The 17,089-nt window shown below is 49.7% G+C and overlaps 1 long non-coding RNA gene across 3 annotated transcripts in view, besides 1 other annotated feature; it reads right to left on the bottom strand.

The window, feature by feature from the left end:
• LOC105371750 (uncharacterized) overlaps positions 1-17,089 on the bottom strand; it is a 115,553-nt gene that overhangs the window by 18,516 nt on the left and 79,948 nt on the right. For 2 of the 3 annotated variants that reach the window (XR_002958156.2, XR_001752870.2), the window contains one exon: positions 6,068-11,811. This is a non-coding gene — a long non-coding RNA (uncharacterized LOC105371750). Of the gene's footprint in view, positions 1-2,014; positions 2,134-6,067; positions 11,812-17,089 lie in introns of those variants that run through there. The other variant, XR_007065730.1, reaches the window with a different exon arrangement.
• Positions 1,786-1,959: a silencer, noted in NCBI's record as "fragment chr17:35109266-35109439 (GRCh37/hg19 assembly coordinates)". NCBI's record gives its function as "represses an EF-1alpha promoter that drives an FKBP-Casp9 reporter gene in an ReSE screen in HepG2 liver carcinoma cells {active_cell/tissue: HepG2}" and the evidence as "EXISTENCE:reporter gene assay evidence [ECO:0000049][PMID:32094911]".

Below are 17,089 nucleotides of genomic sequence, written 5' to 3'. Positions count from 1 at the left end.
GCCTGCATGCAATCACATAAAACAGAGGAGGGAGGCCTGCATGCCATCACATAAAACAGGATCGAAGCTCTTGGAGGCAGCCCATGAACACACACACATGTGAGTGTGCGTGTGTGTGCACATGCCTCCCTAACAGCTCCCATGCAAGGCCCACACTGTAGTAGAAATGGCTGCCACAGAGCTCCACGGAGCAGGAGAGAAGGGAACTGGAGGGTATAGGCTATTGGAGACAGCAGTCTGGACATGTTCTGTACAAGAGAAAGGCACTGGCTCACAGCACACTCAGAAGCAGCCCACCCTAACCTCTCCGAGCCTCGTCGCCCTTGACTCCTTTCTTTCTCACTCAACCCCACAGCCAATCCATCAGCTAACCTGGGTAGCTCTCCCTGCAAAATTCATCCGGAATCTGACCACTGCTCTCCACCACTGCCTCTCACCTGGGTGACTGCAGTAGCCTCCAAATGGGCTTCCACCCTTGTTGCCCCACAGCCTGCTCTTGACCAGTAGCCAGAGGAACCTCGTTCTAAGTCATACCGTGTCCCTGCCCTGCTCAAACCCTGCCTGGCTCTCAGCTTCCTTCAGAGTCAAAGCCCTTGCAATGGTCTGTGAGCACTGCCCCATCTGGCTCCCTTGGCCTCCTCCCCGTGACCTTACCTCCTACCATGCCGGCCTCCCTCCTTCCACTGGTCTCTCTGGCTTCCTCGCCTCTCCCTGAACTGGCCAGGCCAATCCTTCCTCAGGGCCTTTGTGCTGGCTGTTCCCTCTGCCCAGGAGTTCCTTCCCCAAAAATCAGCAGAGTTTGCCTCAGTCAGGTCTTTGCTCAAATGTCACCTTCTCAATGACGCCCTCCTTGACTACTCTCTTTAAAATTGAACCCATTCCCACAACACCCTCTATGTCTCCTTTCCTCTTCATTCTGTATAGCACTTATACAAGCACTTAGACACTTAAATAACTGATGTAATTTGCTGTCTGTCTCCCTCCACTAGAGTGTAAACCCCCTGAGGGTAGATGTTTTTGTCTGTTCACTCCTTATCTCCAGTGCTTAGAACAGTACCTGGTACTAAATCGGTTCCCTGTCGAATGAATGAATGAGTCCACCAGGAACTACAGTGAGGGTGAAGCTCCCAGGGAGGGGGCAAGTAGCGAAAGGAAAAAGAAGAAAATGGATATTTGTCTTAGCCTTTCTGAGAACTAAGCACTTTACATTCAGCAGACTGACGCCCAGAGAGGTGAAGTAACTTGCCGGTGGTCGCACAGCCTGAGAAGGGGCGGGGCAGTAAGATATGTGTGTTTGCTTCAAAACCTGTTTAATTTACCCTGTGCTGCCTACAAAATTTTGGCACCCTGACCTTCTGGATACTGTTTCCACCCTGATTGTTCCCCCAAATGCTGTTTCTGACAGCTCTCCCCCTACCCCCATATGGCAGCAATCACAGCCCTCCCTTTCCCCAGCCACACCACACCCACTAGGAATCCTGTTCTGGAAAACCCTGGTGCCCAGTGGTCTGGGTTCTATTACTAAGAACCCCTGTGACCTTGAGCAAGGCTGGTCCCCCTCCCTCCACACCCCTTCGCTCCTCACTGCCCCATGCCCACCCCACACCACACACTCACTGGGAGCATGGAGCTGCATTGAAAGATCCCGGAGATTCCTCTGAGCCTGCTTTAAGTCCCAGACACGTTCTGTAGGCAGGACAAACCCCTACCCTCCACCCAGGCTCCCACCAGTGTATCTGTCTCGCAGAGCGCCTGGGGTGGCTGAACTCCGGTGGAGAGGAGCTGCTGAGATGAGATGGGGCTGGGCTTACTGAACTCCCCACTACAGGGCACAAGATCAATGAAGCTTCCTTAAAGTAGTGAATGAAGTGAATAAACCTGAGCACCACAGGCCTCCTGGGGTCTTGCCAGGAGTCTGAGGGCCAGTCATTTGCTTTTTCGGATGGGACCGCCCCTCTTTGGCAGCACCCACTTTTTAAAACCCTAAGTCTCTGCAGCCCCAGTGGAAGCCTACCTGGATTTATCCCTCTGGTCTGTCTCCCTTAGGTTCTGGGTCAGCCTTGACAACTGTTCCGTGGAGCTGTTGTGAGGATTCAATTAGATTTTAATGTATGCAGAACACCTGCCCAGTGCCTGGAAACAGTAAACAGCAAATGTTAACTAAGGTTGGTGATGATAGGAGGGGCTCCCCAAGGGGCCCGTCTTCTATCCCTCCTTCCAGATTTTGCAGGCTCAGCAGAAAGGACAGAGATTGGGGTTCTGAGGTGGAAAGCAGCTGAGTCTAAAAAGTTAGGCTATATGGAAAGAGTAAGGCTGGAGAAGGGAAAAGATGTTTACTGAGCAACTATTATGTGTGGAATCATCTTCTTTCACCCTCACTGTACTCTGAGCCCGTGATGCCATTGCCTGCCTCCTGCTGAATGTCCGTGCACCTCTGTCATAGCTCACACCGAATTTGCAAGTATTTCTTTCCCCTTCTGTCTTTCCTGTCATGGAACTCCTTGGAGGAAGGGCTGGGCTACATCCTTGTGTGTGTGCCAGAGCCTTGGAAGCATGCAGGCAGGGCAGCTTTACCCTGTTTTCTAAATCAGGAAATGCAGACGTAAGGAAAGTAAGCACCTTGCCCAGGGTCATGCAGCAGGTGAGTGCAGCAGCTGGGTTGGGCTGTGTGACTGCACAGAGGAGTGAGTGAGGAGGAAGAGCCACTAAAGACAACAGAGCCGGGGGGGCAAGGGACCTAGCTGGGCACTGGGGACAAGGAGTCTGGCCTTACAGCCTCCGTGATGTAGCAGCCGCCACACTGTTGCTGCGTCCCCTGCACTTGCTGTGTCCCCCACGCCATGCTAAGAGCTTCACACACGTGATCTCATTTCATCCTCCCAGGTGTCCTGGGAGGTAGGTCCTATTTGCTCATCCCCATTGTATAGGTGAGAACACTGAGGCCCCGGAAGGCAAAGTGACCTGCCATCGGTCACACGGCTGGAAAGAGAAAGAGTCAGGATTAGAACTCAGTTCCTCCTGACTCCAAAGCCCATGTTCTTAACTGCTACCCTGTTTTGCAGACTTTAGAATAGGCAGGAGCCACCCCGCCTCTCCCAGAATGGCCTAGTTCTCACCGTCTCTATTTGAGACTCATTGATTGATTATTGATGGATGTATTTGTGGTCTGGCTCTGGGGCCTCTTGGCCAGGCCCTGGGCAAGGACAAGAATGGGGATGAGGTGGGGGTCTTCCAACCCCAGGAAAGGCCCTCAGGCTGCCTCCCCCAACCCCCAGCATCCCTGCTTCTGGCCTCCACCCCTGCCAACTTCCCTCCGCCCCTGGATTTAAAGTCACAGTGACGATTAATCACCCAATGACATGGAGGGCAGGCTGCAGAGGAGTTAATTAATTAGGGAAATTTCTCCTGGCCCTTTGAAGGTGAAATGTGTGGGGAGGGGACAAGGCCAGGGACAGATATTATTCAAGCTGAACAAGCTGACTCTGGGAGGCTTCGAGAACAACTCCAGGGGAGCTTTGAAAGGATGGAGACCTCACCAGGGTAGCCTGGACCCCGCCTAAGACTGCCCCTCTTAGCCCAGCTCGAGGTTTCAGACACAGTGGGATGGGGTCCTCCTGCGCCAATGGGCTGGGGCAGACCTGGAGGCAGAAGGGCCTCTAGGAACGGAGGGTAATAAGAAGCCAAAGCTGTTATCTGCATTTCCTCACCAAATTAAAATAGCCAATAACACTGCATACGCCAAAACCCCTGGAGAATGATTCGGTGTCCTTTGTACAGCTTGGATGCTCCAGACACACAGACAACTGGGAGGGGACCCTATCAGACCAGCGCACGCTGCAGCGGGGAAGGGAATGGAAGGTCTGGGCTTTTCAACGTCCTCCTTCCTCCTCCTGTCACCGTAGCCTGGAGGGATTGATCCTCTTGCACTGGCTGGGGTTCCCTATTACCTGCCAGGTGGGCAGCTGCCCATTCTCTCCCACAGCTGGAGCAGGCAGTTGACTTGGTCATGAGATTTAGAAACAGCAGGACGCTCCCCCCGACCATGCACCAGGTATCATCCTTCTGCAGTGCCAAGACTTGGAAACTAGAGAGGTATTGAGGGACAGAGATGCTTAGGACCTGGACTCCACCTTGAAAGCACCTACAGACCCTCCTACACCACTGACAGATGAGGCAAAGATCTGAGTCCCAAACATGGTAGATGTGAAGCTCCATGGGATCACAAAGGAGGGCTTCAAAGAGGTGACGTCATCGGGGGTGAATACCTGGGAAGAAAGCTGAAATTTCAACAAGCATCCATTCCAGGCAGAGGGAGCAAAGAAGAGGAGGTAGCAGTTTGCACAGCGCATGTGGGGAAGGGTGAGGCGGTGGACGAGGTAGGCTCAGTCTACGGTGGGTGGACAGGAAGCCTGAGGACGGGGCATGAGGCAGGAGAATTGAGGTGGACGGTGGTGGAGGGCCGTAGAGGATGGGGCTGGACATGACTCAAACATGGTGGGAAGTCAGCTGGAGTTCTGAGACAGGGCCTGTCTCGATGGAGGGCTCTGGGCTTAGAAAGAGCCTCTGGCAGCTGGGGACAATGGGTTCTTTGGAGAGGGGTGAGGTGAGGTGGAAACCAGTGGGAAGCCAGGTTTCACAGTCCAGGAGAGAGATGAGGATGGCTTCAGTCAGGAGACAGAGCAAGTGGGGAGCTCCAGGTCACTGTCCACCAACTCCGTGCTGGGCACCGCACCAGAAGCTGCACATTCACCTTCTCGCTTGGATCTCAGAAGCTTCATTATCTCCAGGGCTCCTGGGCACCTAGCGGGGGCTAATGAAGCTGGGTTGAGCAGGTTCTGTACACCTGCACAGGTATCTTTTCTCCATTCCCTCCTCCCCGCTGCCTCTTGACATCTCCTTCCCACCCTGAAGAAGGGCGAGGTGCCTGGACACACTGCTGGTGCCCAGCTCAGGAGTCCTCACAGCGAAATCGTGGAAAGCAAGGCCATGCAGCCCACACCACCCCAGCCTCCTCCCCCATCCCTGCCCCCTCCAATCATTCGTACGACAGGAAGAGAACCTAATCCCGAATCTGAAAAACTATGTGATGGAGGATTTACAGTATTAGAAGGCAAACAGTGGCAGGTGTAATTAGGAGAAAAATTTGTCATGCTCTCGACTCGGGGAAGAGAAGGGAAGGTCTGGCATCACAATCTCCCCAGTGTTTACCCAGCGTGCGCACACACGCGGGGGAGCGGGCGCTGGCCACGGGCAGATTAATATTTGATGCAAGGAAGAGAAACGCATGCTGTTCATGTTTATTTAGGATATTGTGAAATACAGTGAAATTTGCAATTTTATTGGATTTGGGGGGACGGTGTTTTGGAGAAGTCTTAAGCCGCATGGTAGGACACGCACATCTCTCTGGAGCATAGAGGCACCAGCTTTGGTGGCGAGCCCCCTCTACCCCCCTTCCCAAATCCAAACTGAGTTCCATTCCCCTCCTGAAATGAGAGAGGATTGGCCCCAGGAGTATGGGTGGAATAAGACAGAAATCTCAGCTGGGCCTCTTAATTTGGAGTTTAGTGGCATGTGGCTGGCACAGAGAGAGGCCATCTCTTAGGGAGGGGGGGAATTCTTGTCAATTACACAAGGGCTGGAAGCCAAGGCTGGGCGGCTTTAAACACTGGTGACCCTGGCCCAGCTTGTGGGGCGCTGGGAGGGAGTGGGGAAAAATGGGAAGAACGCAAGATAAAGAGAGCTGTTCTCTTTGTATCCAAGCAGCTGGTTCATGGAAAGGGCCTTAGACGGCATGAGTCTAACCTTCCTCCTCCAAGGAAGGGCCCAACTCTCCCATTTTTCTTTCCCCAAGTGGTCATCTAGCCTGTGCCTCCACATCCCCAGTGTTGAGAGCTCGTTAGCCCATTTCATTGTCAGATATCGCCCAATGGAGAACTTTTCCTCAGAAACACCTTCCAAGCTACGTAGTTAGGTTGGGATGAGGGGAGGGGAGGGGAGGCAAGGATCAGGGCACATGGTATGCTCACATTTGTGTTAAATAAAGGACAGATCAACAGACAGAGAGAGATGCTTGCACGCACAGTATATTTCTGAAAAAACACATAACAATTGGTAACAGTGGTTGTTTCTGGAGAAGGAAGCTGGATGACGATGAGCCGGAGGAGCCTGGGCAGCCGGAGGAGCCTGGGCAGCCAGAGAGAGAGACCTTCTTTTCGCCATACATCCTTTGACCAATTTGAATTTTTCATCATGTGAACTTAATATTTTTTCCTCAATAAAAATCTGATTTTCGTTTTTAAAAAGAACATATTTTCTACTCCAAGAACAAGCTGAGATAAAGAGAAAATAGTACGGTATGAAAAGCCATAGGATGAGCTATAGGGAGCAGAGGAAAGAAAGGGCTGCAAGGAGACGGAATACACAGCAGCAGAATGTACACCACGCATGCTGGTAGGCGGGTGCACGCACGGAGAAATCACGCTGATCACTGTATTCAACTAAAGGCTGTCTGTCTCCTTGCAGCCTCCACCACTTTCCCACTGTCCTAGTTCTACCAACTGGGTCATGCAGAGGAAGTCCTTTCCCTCTGCCCCACGGCAGCCCTTCAGGTGTTTGAAGATAGAATGAAATTCCCCTAGAACCGTGGCTGGCACCTATAAATATCCCAGCTGGCCCTCTTGCACCAAGTCTTCTCTCCCCTACCACATCTTGCCACTCCTTTTCTCCAGGACATGACTTCTCCTGCCCTCATGAGGCCTGCCCCTGAGGTCAAACGCTTCTCTTAGGCTGGGAGCTCGGAGCGGGGCCGAGATGCCTCCAGGTTGGGGGCGTCTCTGCAGTTGTCTCACACTCTCTGACTTGGACTGAGGCGCCACCTTCTTCAGCACAAACTGTGGACATCTGGAGCCTGATGGCCTCAGAGACCATCCAATTCCCACATTTTAAAAATGGGTAGGCCGGGCGCACGGTGGCTTACGCCTGTAATCCCAGCATTTTGGGAGGCCAACACGGGCGGATCACCTGAGGTCAGGAGTTGGAGACCAGCCTGGCAAACATGGTGAAACCCTGTCTCTACTAAAAATACAAAAAAGGCAGCTAGATGTAGTGGTGCACACCTGTAGTTCCAGCTACTCGGGAGGCTGAGGCACGAGAATTGCTTGAACCTGGGAGGTGGAGGTTGCAGTGAGCAGAGATCACGCCACTGCACTCCAGCCTGGGTGACAGAGTGAGACTCCATCTCAAAAAAAAAAAAAAAAAAAAAAGAAAGGAAAAAAGAAAAAGAAAAGGAGTAAACTGAGGCCTGGGACAGGGCACGGACTGGCCTGAGGTCATGGAAATGAGATCTTCCTGTGTCTACTTCTCCTTCCTCTTGTGAGCCTGCGGAAGCTCCCAGCAAGATGGAACCTTGGGCAGGCCCCTGGGAGAAGTGGGAGCAACACTAGCCAGCCTGCTGTTGGAAGTGGCTCTGCTTCCAGGATAGACAGCAACAGAACCCAAGAAAGGGCAAGCCAGACAGGGCGTGAAGTTAACTTGGGCTTGCAGGAAAGACAGAGGTGAGGCAGGCACCAGCATGCGGTGTCAGTGGGAGGGTGGCTATGCTGATGCTTGAGTGTACCGGTGTGTGTATGTGTGTGTTGTGCATGCACACGTGAGTCCATGTGGTGTGAGGTATGTGCCTGTGTAAGTGCAGGGACTCTGTGTGCATCTGTGTGTGCACATATGAGTACTGGAAAATATGCACACTGACAATGACCAGGGCGTGAGTGTGTGTACCTGTATGCTCTCTGTCTCTGCTACAGCCCTCAGCATACTGACTTGTCTGCATTTGTTCCTAAAGCTGCCTCTTCCCCTGAGCTATAAGCTGAGATTCTGCCTTTTTTAAAAAAAAATCTCCGTAGTCCCAATGCCAAGTACAGCACATGGCATCTAATAGGTGCTCAGTCAGTGTTTGCTGGACTGACCTGTTTGAACTGAATTGAACCGAACTGAACTGAATTTCCCCAGTGTGTCTCTGTGCATAGGAGTCTGTACCGGGGAGAGGGAATGAATCTGCGCCACGTGGGCAAATGCTCGTGGAGTGTCTGTGCATGCGTGTCTGGGGTGAGTCTTCACATTTACATGTAGGTCTGTGTGCATGCTGTGAACATGCCCTGGCACAAGCGAATTCAAACCACACGGAGGGAATGTGCCTACGTGTGTATGCATGTGTGTGTGTGAGTGTGTGCATGCACATGCCCACTCCCACAGCCTTCTCATACATCCAGGCAGCCCGCTGGCACCCCAGCTTCAGCTCAGCCAGCCTTCCTCCCCGTAAACCTGGAGCAGCTAAAATTAGTATGAAAATGGTAGTGTTCGGTTAAAAGGAAGGGGGGTGGGAAGAGATGAGGGTACCCATGAGTGCTATTTTATTTCTCAGTGAGAGGATAAAGTGATTTTTCCTACATAATTTTTGATGTAGAGGCTAAATTAGGCCGGAGAAGAGGGACAAAGCAACTTTCGCCCTCATTAGTATTCTGGCCGCGTTGGCCCAGGCACGGCAGTTATGTATTTTTGCAAGTATGCATATAATTTATTGTGGAGAACACAATTTACATGGTAGTCGATGCCTGTTTTATAGCCTCACAAATAGATGTATGAACTCAAGCATATAATGGCCCAACCAGCAGGCGCAAATACGTTCTAAATCTTCTAAATGTGCTTCACAAAAATGTAACTGAGGAATATAAAACAGATCAATTCTTGCATGTTATATATTGGTTTTTGATTTACAAATCTAATCTGGGACATTTCTTCAGAAATGAGGGGATTTTTCCCCCACGCTTTCCCCTCCTCTTCTTCCACAACTTCTCTGTGCACAGACCTCGCCTGCTGGTCAGGTGCCAGCAGGCATTGCCACTTCTGGGATATGCCTAGGTGCCCGTGTGTGTGCTCATGTGTGGGGGCCACGCTCTTGCCTGTCTGCCTGGGTGTGCACTCGTATGTGTGTCAGGAATCTGCAGACCTCGGGTGGAAGGGAGAGAGTGGTTTCTCTCCATCTGTGTGACCTCCCCCATTTGAGGCTGAAAATTTGGGGAGAAGGGCTGATGAGAGGACCCCATGAGGGTGTGGGCATCTCTCAGATGTGTTCCCTCTGGGCTTCTGCTTAAACGGCCTATTTTCTTCTGAGACCCAAGCTGTCTTCATGACTTATTGGAGCAGAAAAGGGAATGAGGATCCTAGGGATGAAATTAAACTAATATGTGTTGAGTTGCATTTTAAATGTGCATTTTATCAGAAATATTTTAATCAACCTATCTTTAGGTACATGGCTTTTTAAAAAGCCCATTCCATCAATAGTTGAACAGACACATAAATGATGGTGTACTCATAAAATGGAATATGATACAGCTAAGAAAATTTGAGCCAACGATTGCTTCCTACAACAGCATGGGGAATCTCACAAACAGAATGTAAAATGCAAGAAGCCGGACCCAAAAGAGGACCTGCTACTTGATTGGATTTATCAAGCACGAACTGAACCCAACTATTGTGTGTAGAGATGGCAAAACTATCAAGGAGAGCAAGAGTATTTGCCATAAAGGTCAGAATGGTGGTTTTCTTTGGGGAGGAGGATTGGCTAGAGTACAGGAGGGGCTTCTGGGGAGGTGGTAATGTTCCTCTTGACCAAGTGGTGGTTTCATGGATATTCACTTGGTGATAAATTACTGAGCGGTACTTTTTAAAAATCCACTTTTCTGTATGTGTCTTATATTTTGCAATCAAAGCATTTACAAAAATAGCCCTTAAGGACTTATAATAAAAAGCAGGCACCCCAGCTCCACCCACCCCAGCCCTGTTTCCCTGAAGGCAACTACTGGTAACCATTTCCGGATGTTCTCTCCAATCTCTAGAAATGTTGTGGAGTTTCTTTCGAATCTATCAGTGAAATTGTATAATCCTTTTTATTTCTGTAAGGTCAGTGGCAAGGTCTCCACTTCCATTCCTGACTTTAGTAATTTCAGTTTTCTCTCTCTTTTTTTTTTTCTCGGTCAGTTTAGCTAAAGGTTTGTCAATTCTGTAGATCATTTCAGACAACCAACTTTTGGTTTTGCTGATTTTTCTCTATCGTTTTTCTGTTCTCTGTTTCATTTATCTCTGCTCTAATTTTTTTATTTGCTTGCTTTGGATTTAGTTTGCTTTTTTTTTTTTTAGTAAGGTGGAAGGTTATTGATTTGAGATCTTCTATTTTAAGGTAGGTGTTTACAGCTATAAATTTCCCTCTGAGCACTGCTTTTACTGCATCCTGTAAGTTTTAGTATGTTGTGTTTTTGTTTTCATTCGTCTCAAAGTATTTTCTAATTTCCCTTATGATTTATTTTTTGACCCTTTGGTTAGGAGTGTGTCGTTTAATTTTTACATATTTGTGAATTTTCAAATTTCCTTCTGTTTTTGACCTTCTAATTTCATTACTCTGTTGTCAGAGAACATATTTTGTGTAATTTCAATTTTTCTAAATTTATTGAGATTTGATTTGTGGCCTAAGATATGATCTATGCTAGAGAATGGTCCGTGTGCACTTGAGAAGAATGTGTATTCTGCTGTTGCTGGGTGGAATGTGCTCTTCAATCGCCGTTAGAAAGCAGTGTCTGTTAGGTCTAGCTGGTTTACAGTGTTTTTAAAGTCTTCTATTTCCTTACTGATCTCCTATCTAGTGTTCCATCCATTACATCGATGAAATTTTTTCTCATCTATGTGATACTTATAAGGTACAAGTCACAGCCCTAATTTCAGGAGGTTCACAATCCAGTGGGGGTGGGGGAGCTTCACTTCTACCTAGCTGGGCCACCCCATCCCTGATCTCCAATATGGGAGGATCGCCCTCATCCCCATACTGTCTTGCAGCCTGGGGTCTTGGGCTGTGCAACTCCCCATCAGCCTCAAGTATCTCCATCTCTCCCATTCCCACGGTTACTAACCCTGGTGCAAACAAAGCAGAACTGGAAGAGGTCTCGAAGACCACGTGGAGGTCAATGCCCTTGTGGTACAGATAGGGAAACTGAGGCCCAGAGAGGGGCAAGATCTTTTTCTAGGTCTCCTGGAGAGCCAGGCCCAGTGATGTCCTATCAATCATCTGCTCAGCCCACAGCACCATGATCTAGTGGCTATCGAGAAAAAGGGACCTGTTGATGTCACCCTCTGTGTCATTTCCATTTGTAGTATGGGGTGGTGGCAGACAAGGCCAGTATTAGAGGGGGTGAGGGGGCTGTGTTGAACACACATCCCAGAGCACTTAGAAGACCTACGCTTCCATCCTAGCTTAACCACTCTGAGCTGTGTGAGCTTGAGCAAGTCACTCTCCTGCTCTGAACTTCAGTTTCCTTATATGCAAAATAGAAAACATCGTAAGCACTGCCACCATTCATTGAGTCCCTACCAAGTACCCAGTACTGTACTCATACAATTTCATTCAGTCCTCCTGACCGCCTTGGGAGAGGTCAGTACCTTTGGCATAGGAAGAAAGAGAGGCCCCATAAAGCAAACCACCCACCCAAAGCCACAGGTATTCAACCCTCACCCTCTTAAGGCTCCAAAGCTAAAGCACAGAAGCCGCCCGGCCACATGGCCCTCCATCCACCCTTGCAGTGTGGGTTTACATATTTACGGGAGGAGGCGGGGCGCAGTTAAAGAGGGACTGAGTGTCAGCTGACGCTCACCATGGGATTACTGTTAATTTCCTCAGGTGTGATCCTGGCATGGCCAGTTAGTGAGAGGTACTTACTGAAGTCATTCCACATGAAGTCACCTGATATCTGGGATTTGTTTTCAACTACCCTGGCAAAAAAAAAAAAAAAAGAGGGGACAGATGAAACGAGATGGACAAAGCTAATAATTGTTGCAACTGAGTAGTGGGTACTCGGGGTTCATTAAATGCTCTCTCCGGCTTTTAATGTTTGAAATTTTTCACAAGAAAACATTAACGAAAACCCTCACGTGTCCTGACTCCAGGTAGAACCCACCTCAGGAGAGCTGGTGGTTTTCACATAAACTTGCCCCTGCTCGGGGACCCACCCGAACCTCTCAGCGTCCCCGATGCCAGCAGGAGTCTGGTCGCTGGGTGGGGTTGGCTGTACGGTCTGGAACACAGGTGTGGCTGCGTAACCACATGTGTTTCCCTGCCTGCCCTGGTCACCCAACCGCAAGGGGACCCACCATTCCCCAGTGTCGGGACCATCAAGACAGCCATTTTCTCCCTTGACCCAGGACAGCCCTCCTGAGGGAAAATGGAAGGAACGGAAGCCTTTGCTTTAAATAATGGGGGGGAGGGGGCGTGGACGGCATGGCTCTGCAGTTCCCTTGCCAGACAAACACACCCCAGCTGGGGGTCTTCTCTTGCCAGGAAGGGGAGGCTTGAGCTGGACTTCTAGGCCTGTATTCACAGCTAGCATCTCCATGGCAACAAGCCAGTTAGAGGGGCCTCAGCCCGGGCCCGGCCCCTGGGGCCACTTATCTGCACCCACCTCAGGAGGGCGGCATTAATAGGCTGGTGCCTGCTCCCAGCTCTCAGCTCCCAGGCCTCCCTATGACTCCCATCCACACCGCACAGACACTGTCCCTGATATAAGGAGCCCAGGAGACAGAGGCCCCCTCCCTGGCCACACACACACACACACACACACAGCACACACACATTCTCTCAAACTCTCTTCCTCTCACACATACACATACACACTCACACTCTGTCTCACATACTCACACACTCAACACATACATGCACAGAAGTATACCTTTCTCTCTCACAGACACACACGCTCTCACACTCTCCCGCGTCTCTCTCCCTCTCACGTACACACCCGCAAGCACAGTCTCTCACACACATTCTCTCACACCCTCTTCCTCCCTCTCACACACTCATATATCTACCTCTCACATCACACACACCCAGCACACACACTCTCACATACACACCACAGCACACACTCTCACATACACACCCAGCACATTCTCTCACACACCATACACAGCACTCTGTCACACATGCACACACGAACACACAATACACACACAGTCATGCACACACACACTACACACACATTCTCATACTCTCACACATACACATACACTCTCACACGTAAACACATACACAGAAGTATACCTGTCTCACAGGCACACACACATCCCCATCTCCCTCTCTCACACATCCGCAAGCACACACACATTCTCTCACACACTCTTTCTCACACACCCATACACACAGTCTCACATACACACACCAGCACACACTCTCTTATACACACACACACCAGCACACACTCTTACATCCAAGCAGTCTTACACACACACCAGCACACACTCTTACATACACATACACACACCAGCACACTCTTACACACAAACATATACACAAGCACACTCTTACACACACCAGCACACCCTTACACACACACCAGCACACACTCTTACATACACATACACACACCAGCACACACTTACACACATACATATACACCAGCACCTTCTCTTACACATACACTAGCACACACACTCTTACATACCAGCACACACACTCTTACACACATACACACACCAGCACTCTCTTACACACATGCCAGCACACACTATTACACACATACACCAGCACACACTCTTACACACCAGCACACACTCTCACACACACATGCACTCACACCCTGTGGTCAGTTCAGTGGGAGGAAGGAGGAGGCAAACATTGATCCCCTACTCATACACACGCTCCCACCCACACACTCTCTCTCACATACACACACACCCCAGCACACACCCCACCCACTGGAGCACCTGCAGTGCTCCAGTCTGGGAAGCTCCTGGCTCTCATGTCCGATGCCAGACGCCCCAGTGTAAGCTACGGAACCTCTCTGCCTAGTTTCCTCATCTCTACCTTGAACATAATTAGACCAACCACCTATATCAGGTGTAAAACTTAAATTTCATCATGAGAACACAGTAGATGCCCAATAAATACTTCCTCCTTCCTCCCACTGAACGTGGGAAGATTCTGTTGTCTTTGGAAGACTCTGCTGGGCTCTGGCTTAGTGAGGTCTGGGAGTCGCACAGCTCACCAGGTGTGCAGGGCTCTGCTGTGGACCATGGGCCTGATGTGAGCAGCCAGGTGCTTTCTCGGAGCCTTAGTCTCCTCCTCTCTGGGGCCATAAGGACTAATGAGTTAAGAAGTCATTTAGTACCGTGCTTGGTATGTCCTCGATGTTGGTAGTGTTGTAGGAATAAGAATAATGACAGAGCCATGATGCTGAGAAACAGGGCTTACTGTGTCCCCAGCTCCCCACTGACACATGAGCTCGGCTGGTTCTGAAACGTCTATGTGGGAGCTAGAACATCCCGATTTCAGATGGGAAATGAAGGTTTGGAGACTAAGAAACTCATTCAGGCCACAGAGCTAGAAAGTGGTGGTGTGGGGCAGCCAGCTCTGCACCAATCTCAGGGCCACAGTGCAATCAATGCTCGGGAAGCGGTGCTACTGTCATTATTAATTAGAGAGAGCAGATGGATCACAGACTTGCTTAGCCGAGAGCCAGAGCCCTCACTTGGCAGAAGACAGGCATGAGGGCCTAAGTGGGGCAGCCCCTCACTGAGGTCACCCCTGCGGTCAGCAGAGCTCTGGGCACCACCTGGTCACATGCCCGACATCACAGGCCCAATCTCGTGTTCCTAGAGTGCCCTCCCCCAGATCGGGCTGCTGAGGAGAATTTAGCATCTGCAGTTGACTGGGACGGCAAGGGGACTGGGGGGCCTGAGTGGGCTCTCAGTGGCAGAGACCCCTGAATCCTCCCATAAATCCCCCCATATAGTCTTTCTTTTTTCCCTTCCTCCTCCCTCCCTCTCTTCCCTCTTTCCTTTCGCCTTAAATAAGTTTGAATGTTTCAGTTCCTTGTAAGCGATCTCTCACCCTCACCAAGACTGTGCCCCTACCCTGCCCCATTCTTCAAGCTGGACAGCACACAGGGGTACCTCTGCCACTTCTGCAGAATCCCTGGCCCGGCCCAAGGAAGCCAACCCCCGCAACTTCTTCGTTTCCTCCTCTGTGGAATTGGGGTATTGAGTCCTAATTCACAAGGTTGTTGTAAGGACTAATGGAGAGAGCTTAGAAAAGCCCAGAGTGAGCCGGGCACGGCGGCTCACACCTGTAACCCCAGCACTTTGGTAGGCTGAGGCGTGTGGATCACCTGAGGTCAGGAGTTTGAGACCAGCGTGGCCAGCATCGTGGAACTCCATCTCTACTAAAAATACAAAAATTAGCCGGGCTTGGTGGCAGGCACCTGTAATCCCACCTACTTGGGAAGCTGAGGCAGGAGAATTGCTTGAACCTGGAAGGCGGAGGTTGCAGTGAGCCAAGAGCATGCCGCCACTGCACTCCAGGCTGAGCAACAGAGTGAGACTCCATCTTGGAAAAAAAAAAAGGAAAAAGAAAAACCAAAAGAAAAGAAAGAAAGAAAAGCCCAAAGTGAGGTTGGGAGCAGTGGCTCATGCCTGTAATCCCACTGTGGGAGGCCGAGGTGGGAGGTAGCTGCGACTACAGGCATGCTCCACCACGCTCAGCTAACTTTTTATTTTTTGTAGAGACAGGGTCTCCCTATGTTGCTTAGCTTGGTCTTGAACTTCTAGGTTCAAACCATCCTCCTGCCTCAGCCTCCCGAAGTGCTGGAATTACAGGCATGAGCCACTGTGCCTGGCACAGTACTATTAATTACAGCCCTCCTACTGTGCAATAATAGAACACCTCCTATCTAACCATAACTTTGTATCTGTTGACTAATCTCTCCCCATCCCACCCTCCCTACCCCCAGCTCCCTGTTTCTGGTAACCACTATTTTACTCTCTACTTCTGTGAGAACAATTTTCTTAGATTCTACATATGAATAAGATCATGCAGTATTTGACTTTGTGTGCCTTGCTTATTTCACATAACATAATGTCCTCCAAGTCCATCCCAATCCATCATGTTGCCACAAATGACAGGATTTCATATTTTCATGGATTAATAGTATTCCATTGTTTCTATGTACCACATTTTCTTTTTTACTCATCCACCAATGGACACTTAGGTTGATACCATATCTTGATTATTATGAATACCCCTGCAATAAATAAAGGACTGCAGATGTCTCTTTGACATACTGATTTCATTGCCTTTGGATCCAGTAGTGGGATTACTGGATCATATTAGTTCTATTCCTTCCTGGATCATAGTCCTTTTCTTTCCTTTTTCCTTTCTTTCCTTCCTTCCTACTTTCTTTCCTTCCTTCCTACTTTCTTTCCTTCCTTCCTTCCTTCCCTCCCTCCCTCCTTCCTCCCCTCCCTCCCTCCTTCCTCCCCTCCCTCCCTCCTTCCTCCCTGTCTTTCTGTCTTCCTAGTCTTTTCTTCCTCTTTTGAGATAGGGTGTCTCTCTGTTGTCCAGGCTAGAGTGCAGTGGTGTAATCATAGCTCATCACAACTTTGAACTCCTGGGCTCAAGCAATCCTCCCATCTCAGCCTCTCAAAGTGCTTGGATTACAAGCTATTTTTAATTTTTTGAGGAACCTCCATACTGTTTCCCATAGTGGCAATACTAATTTACATTCCCACCAACAGTGTATAAGAGTTCCCCTTTCTCCACAACCACACCAGCACTTGTTATTTTTTGTCTTTTTGATAATAGCCATTCTAACTAGGGTAAGATGATATCTCATTGTAGTTTTGATTTGCATCTTCCTGATGATTAGTGATGTTAGGGCCAAATGAAGTGGCTCATGTCTGTAATCCCAGCACTTTGGGAGGCTGAGGCGGGCAGACCACTTGAACTCAGGAGTTTGAGACCAGCCTGGACAACATGGTGAAACCCTGTCTCTACAAAAAATACAAAAATTAGTCAGGCATGGTGGCACACATCTGTGGTCTCAGCTACTCAGGAGGTTGAGGTGGAAGGATGGCTTGAGCCTGGGAGGCAGAGGCTGCAGTGAGCCTAGATCGTGCCACTGCACTCCAGCCTGGATGACAGAGCCAGATCCTGTCTCAAAAAAAAAAAAAAGTGATGTTAAACATTTTTTCATATACTTGTATACTTGTTGGCCATTTTCAT

Source organism: Homo sapiens, chromosome 17 (genome assembly GCF_000001405.40).
Source record: "Homo sapiens chromosome 17, GRCh38.p14 Primary Assembly".
Classification (NCBI taxonomy): domain Eukaryota; kingdom Metazoa; phylum Chordata; class Mammalia; order Primates; family Hominidae; genus Homo; species Homo sapiens.
This window is presented reverse-complemented; position numbering and strand designations above follow the sequence as displayed.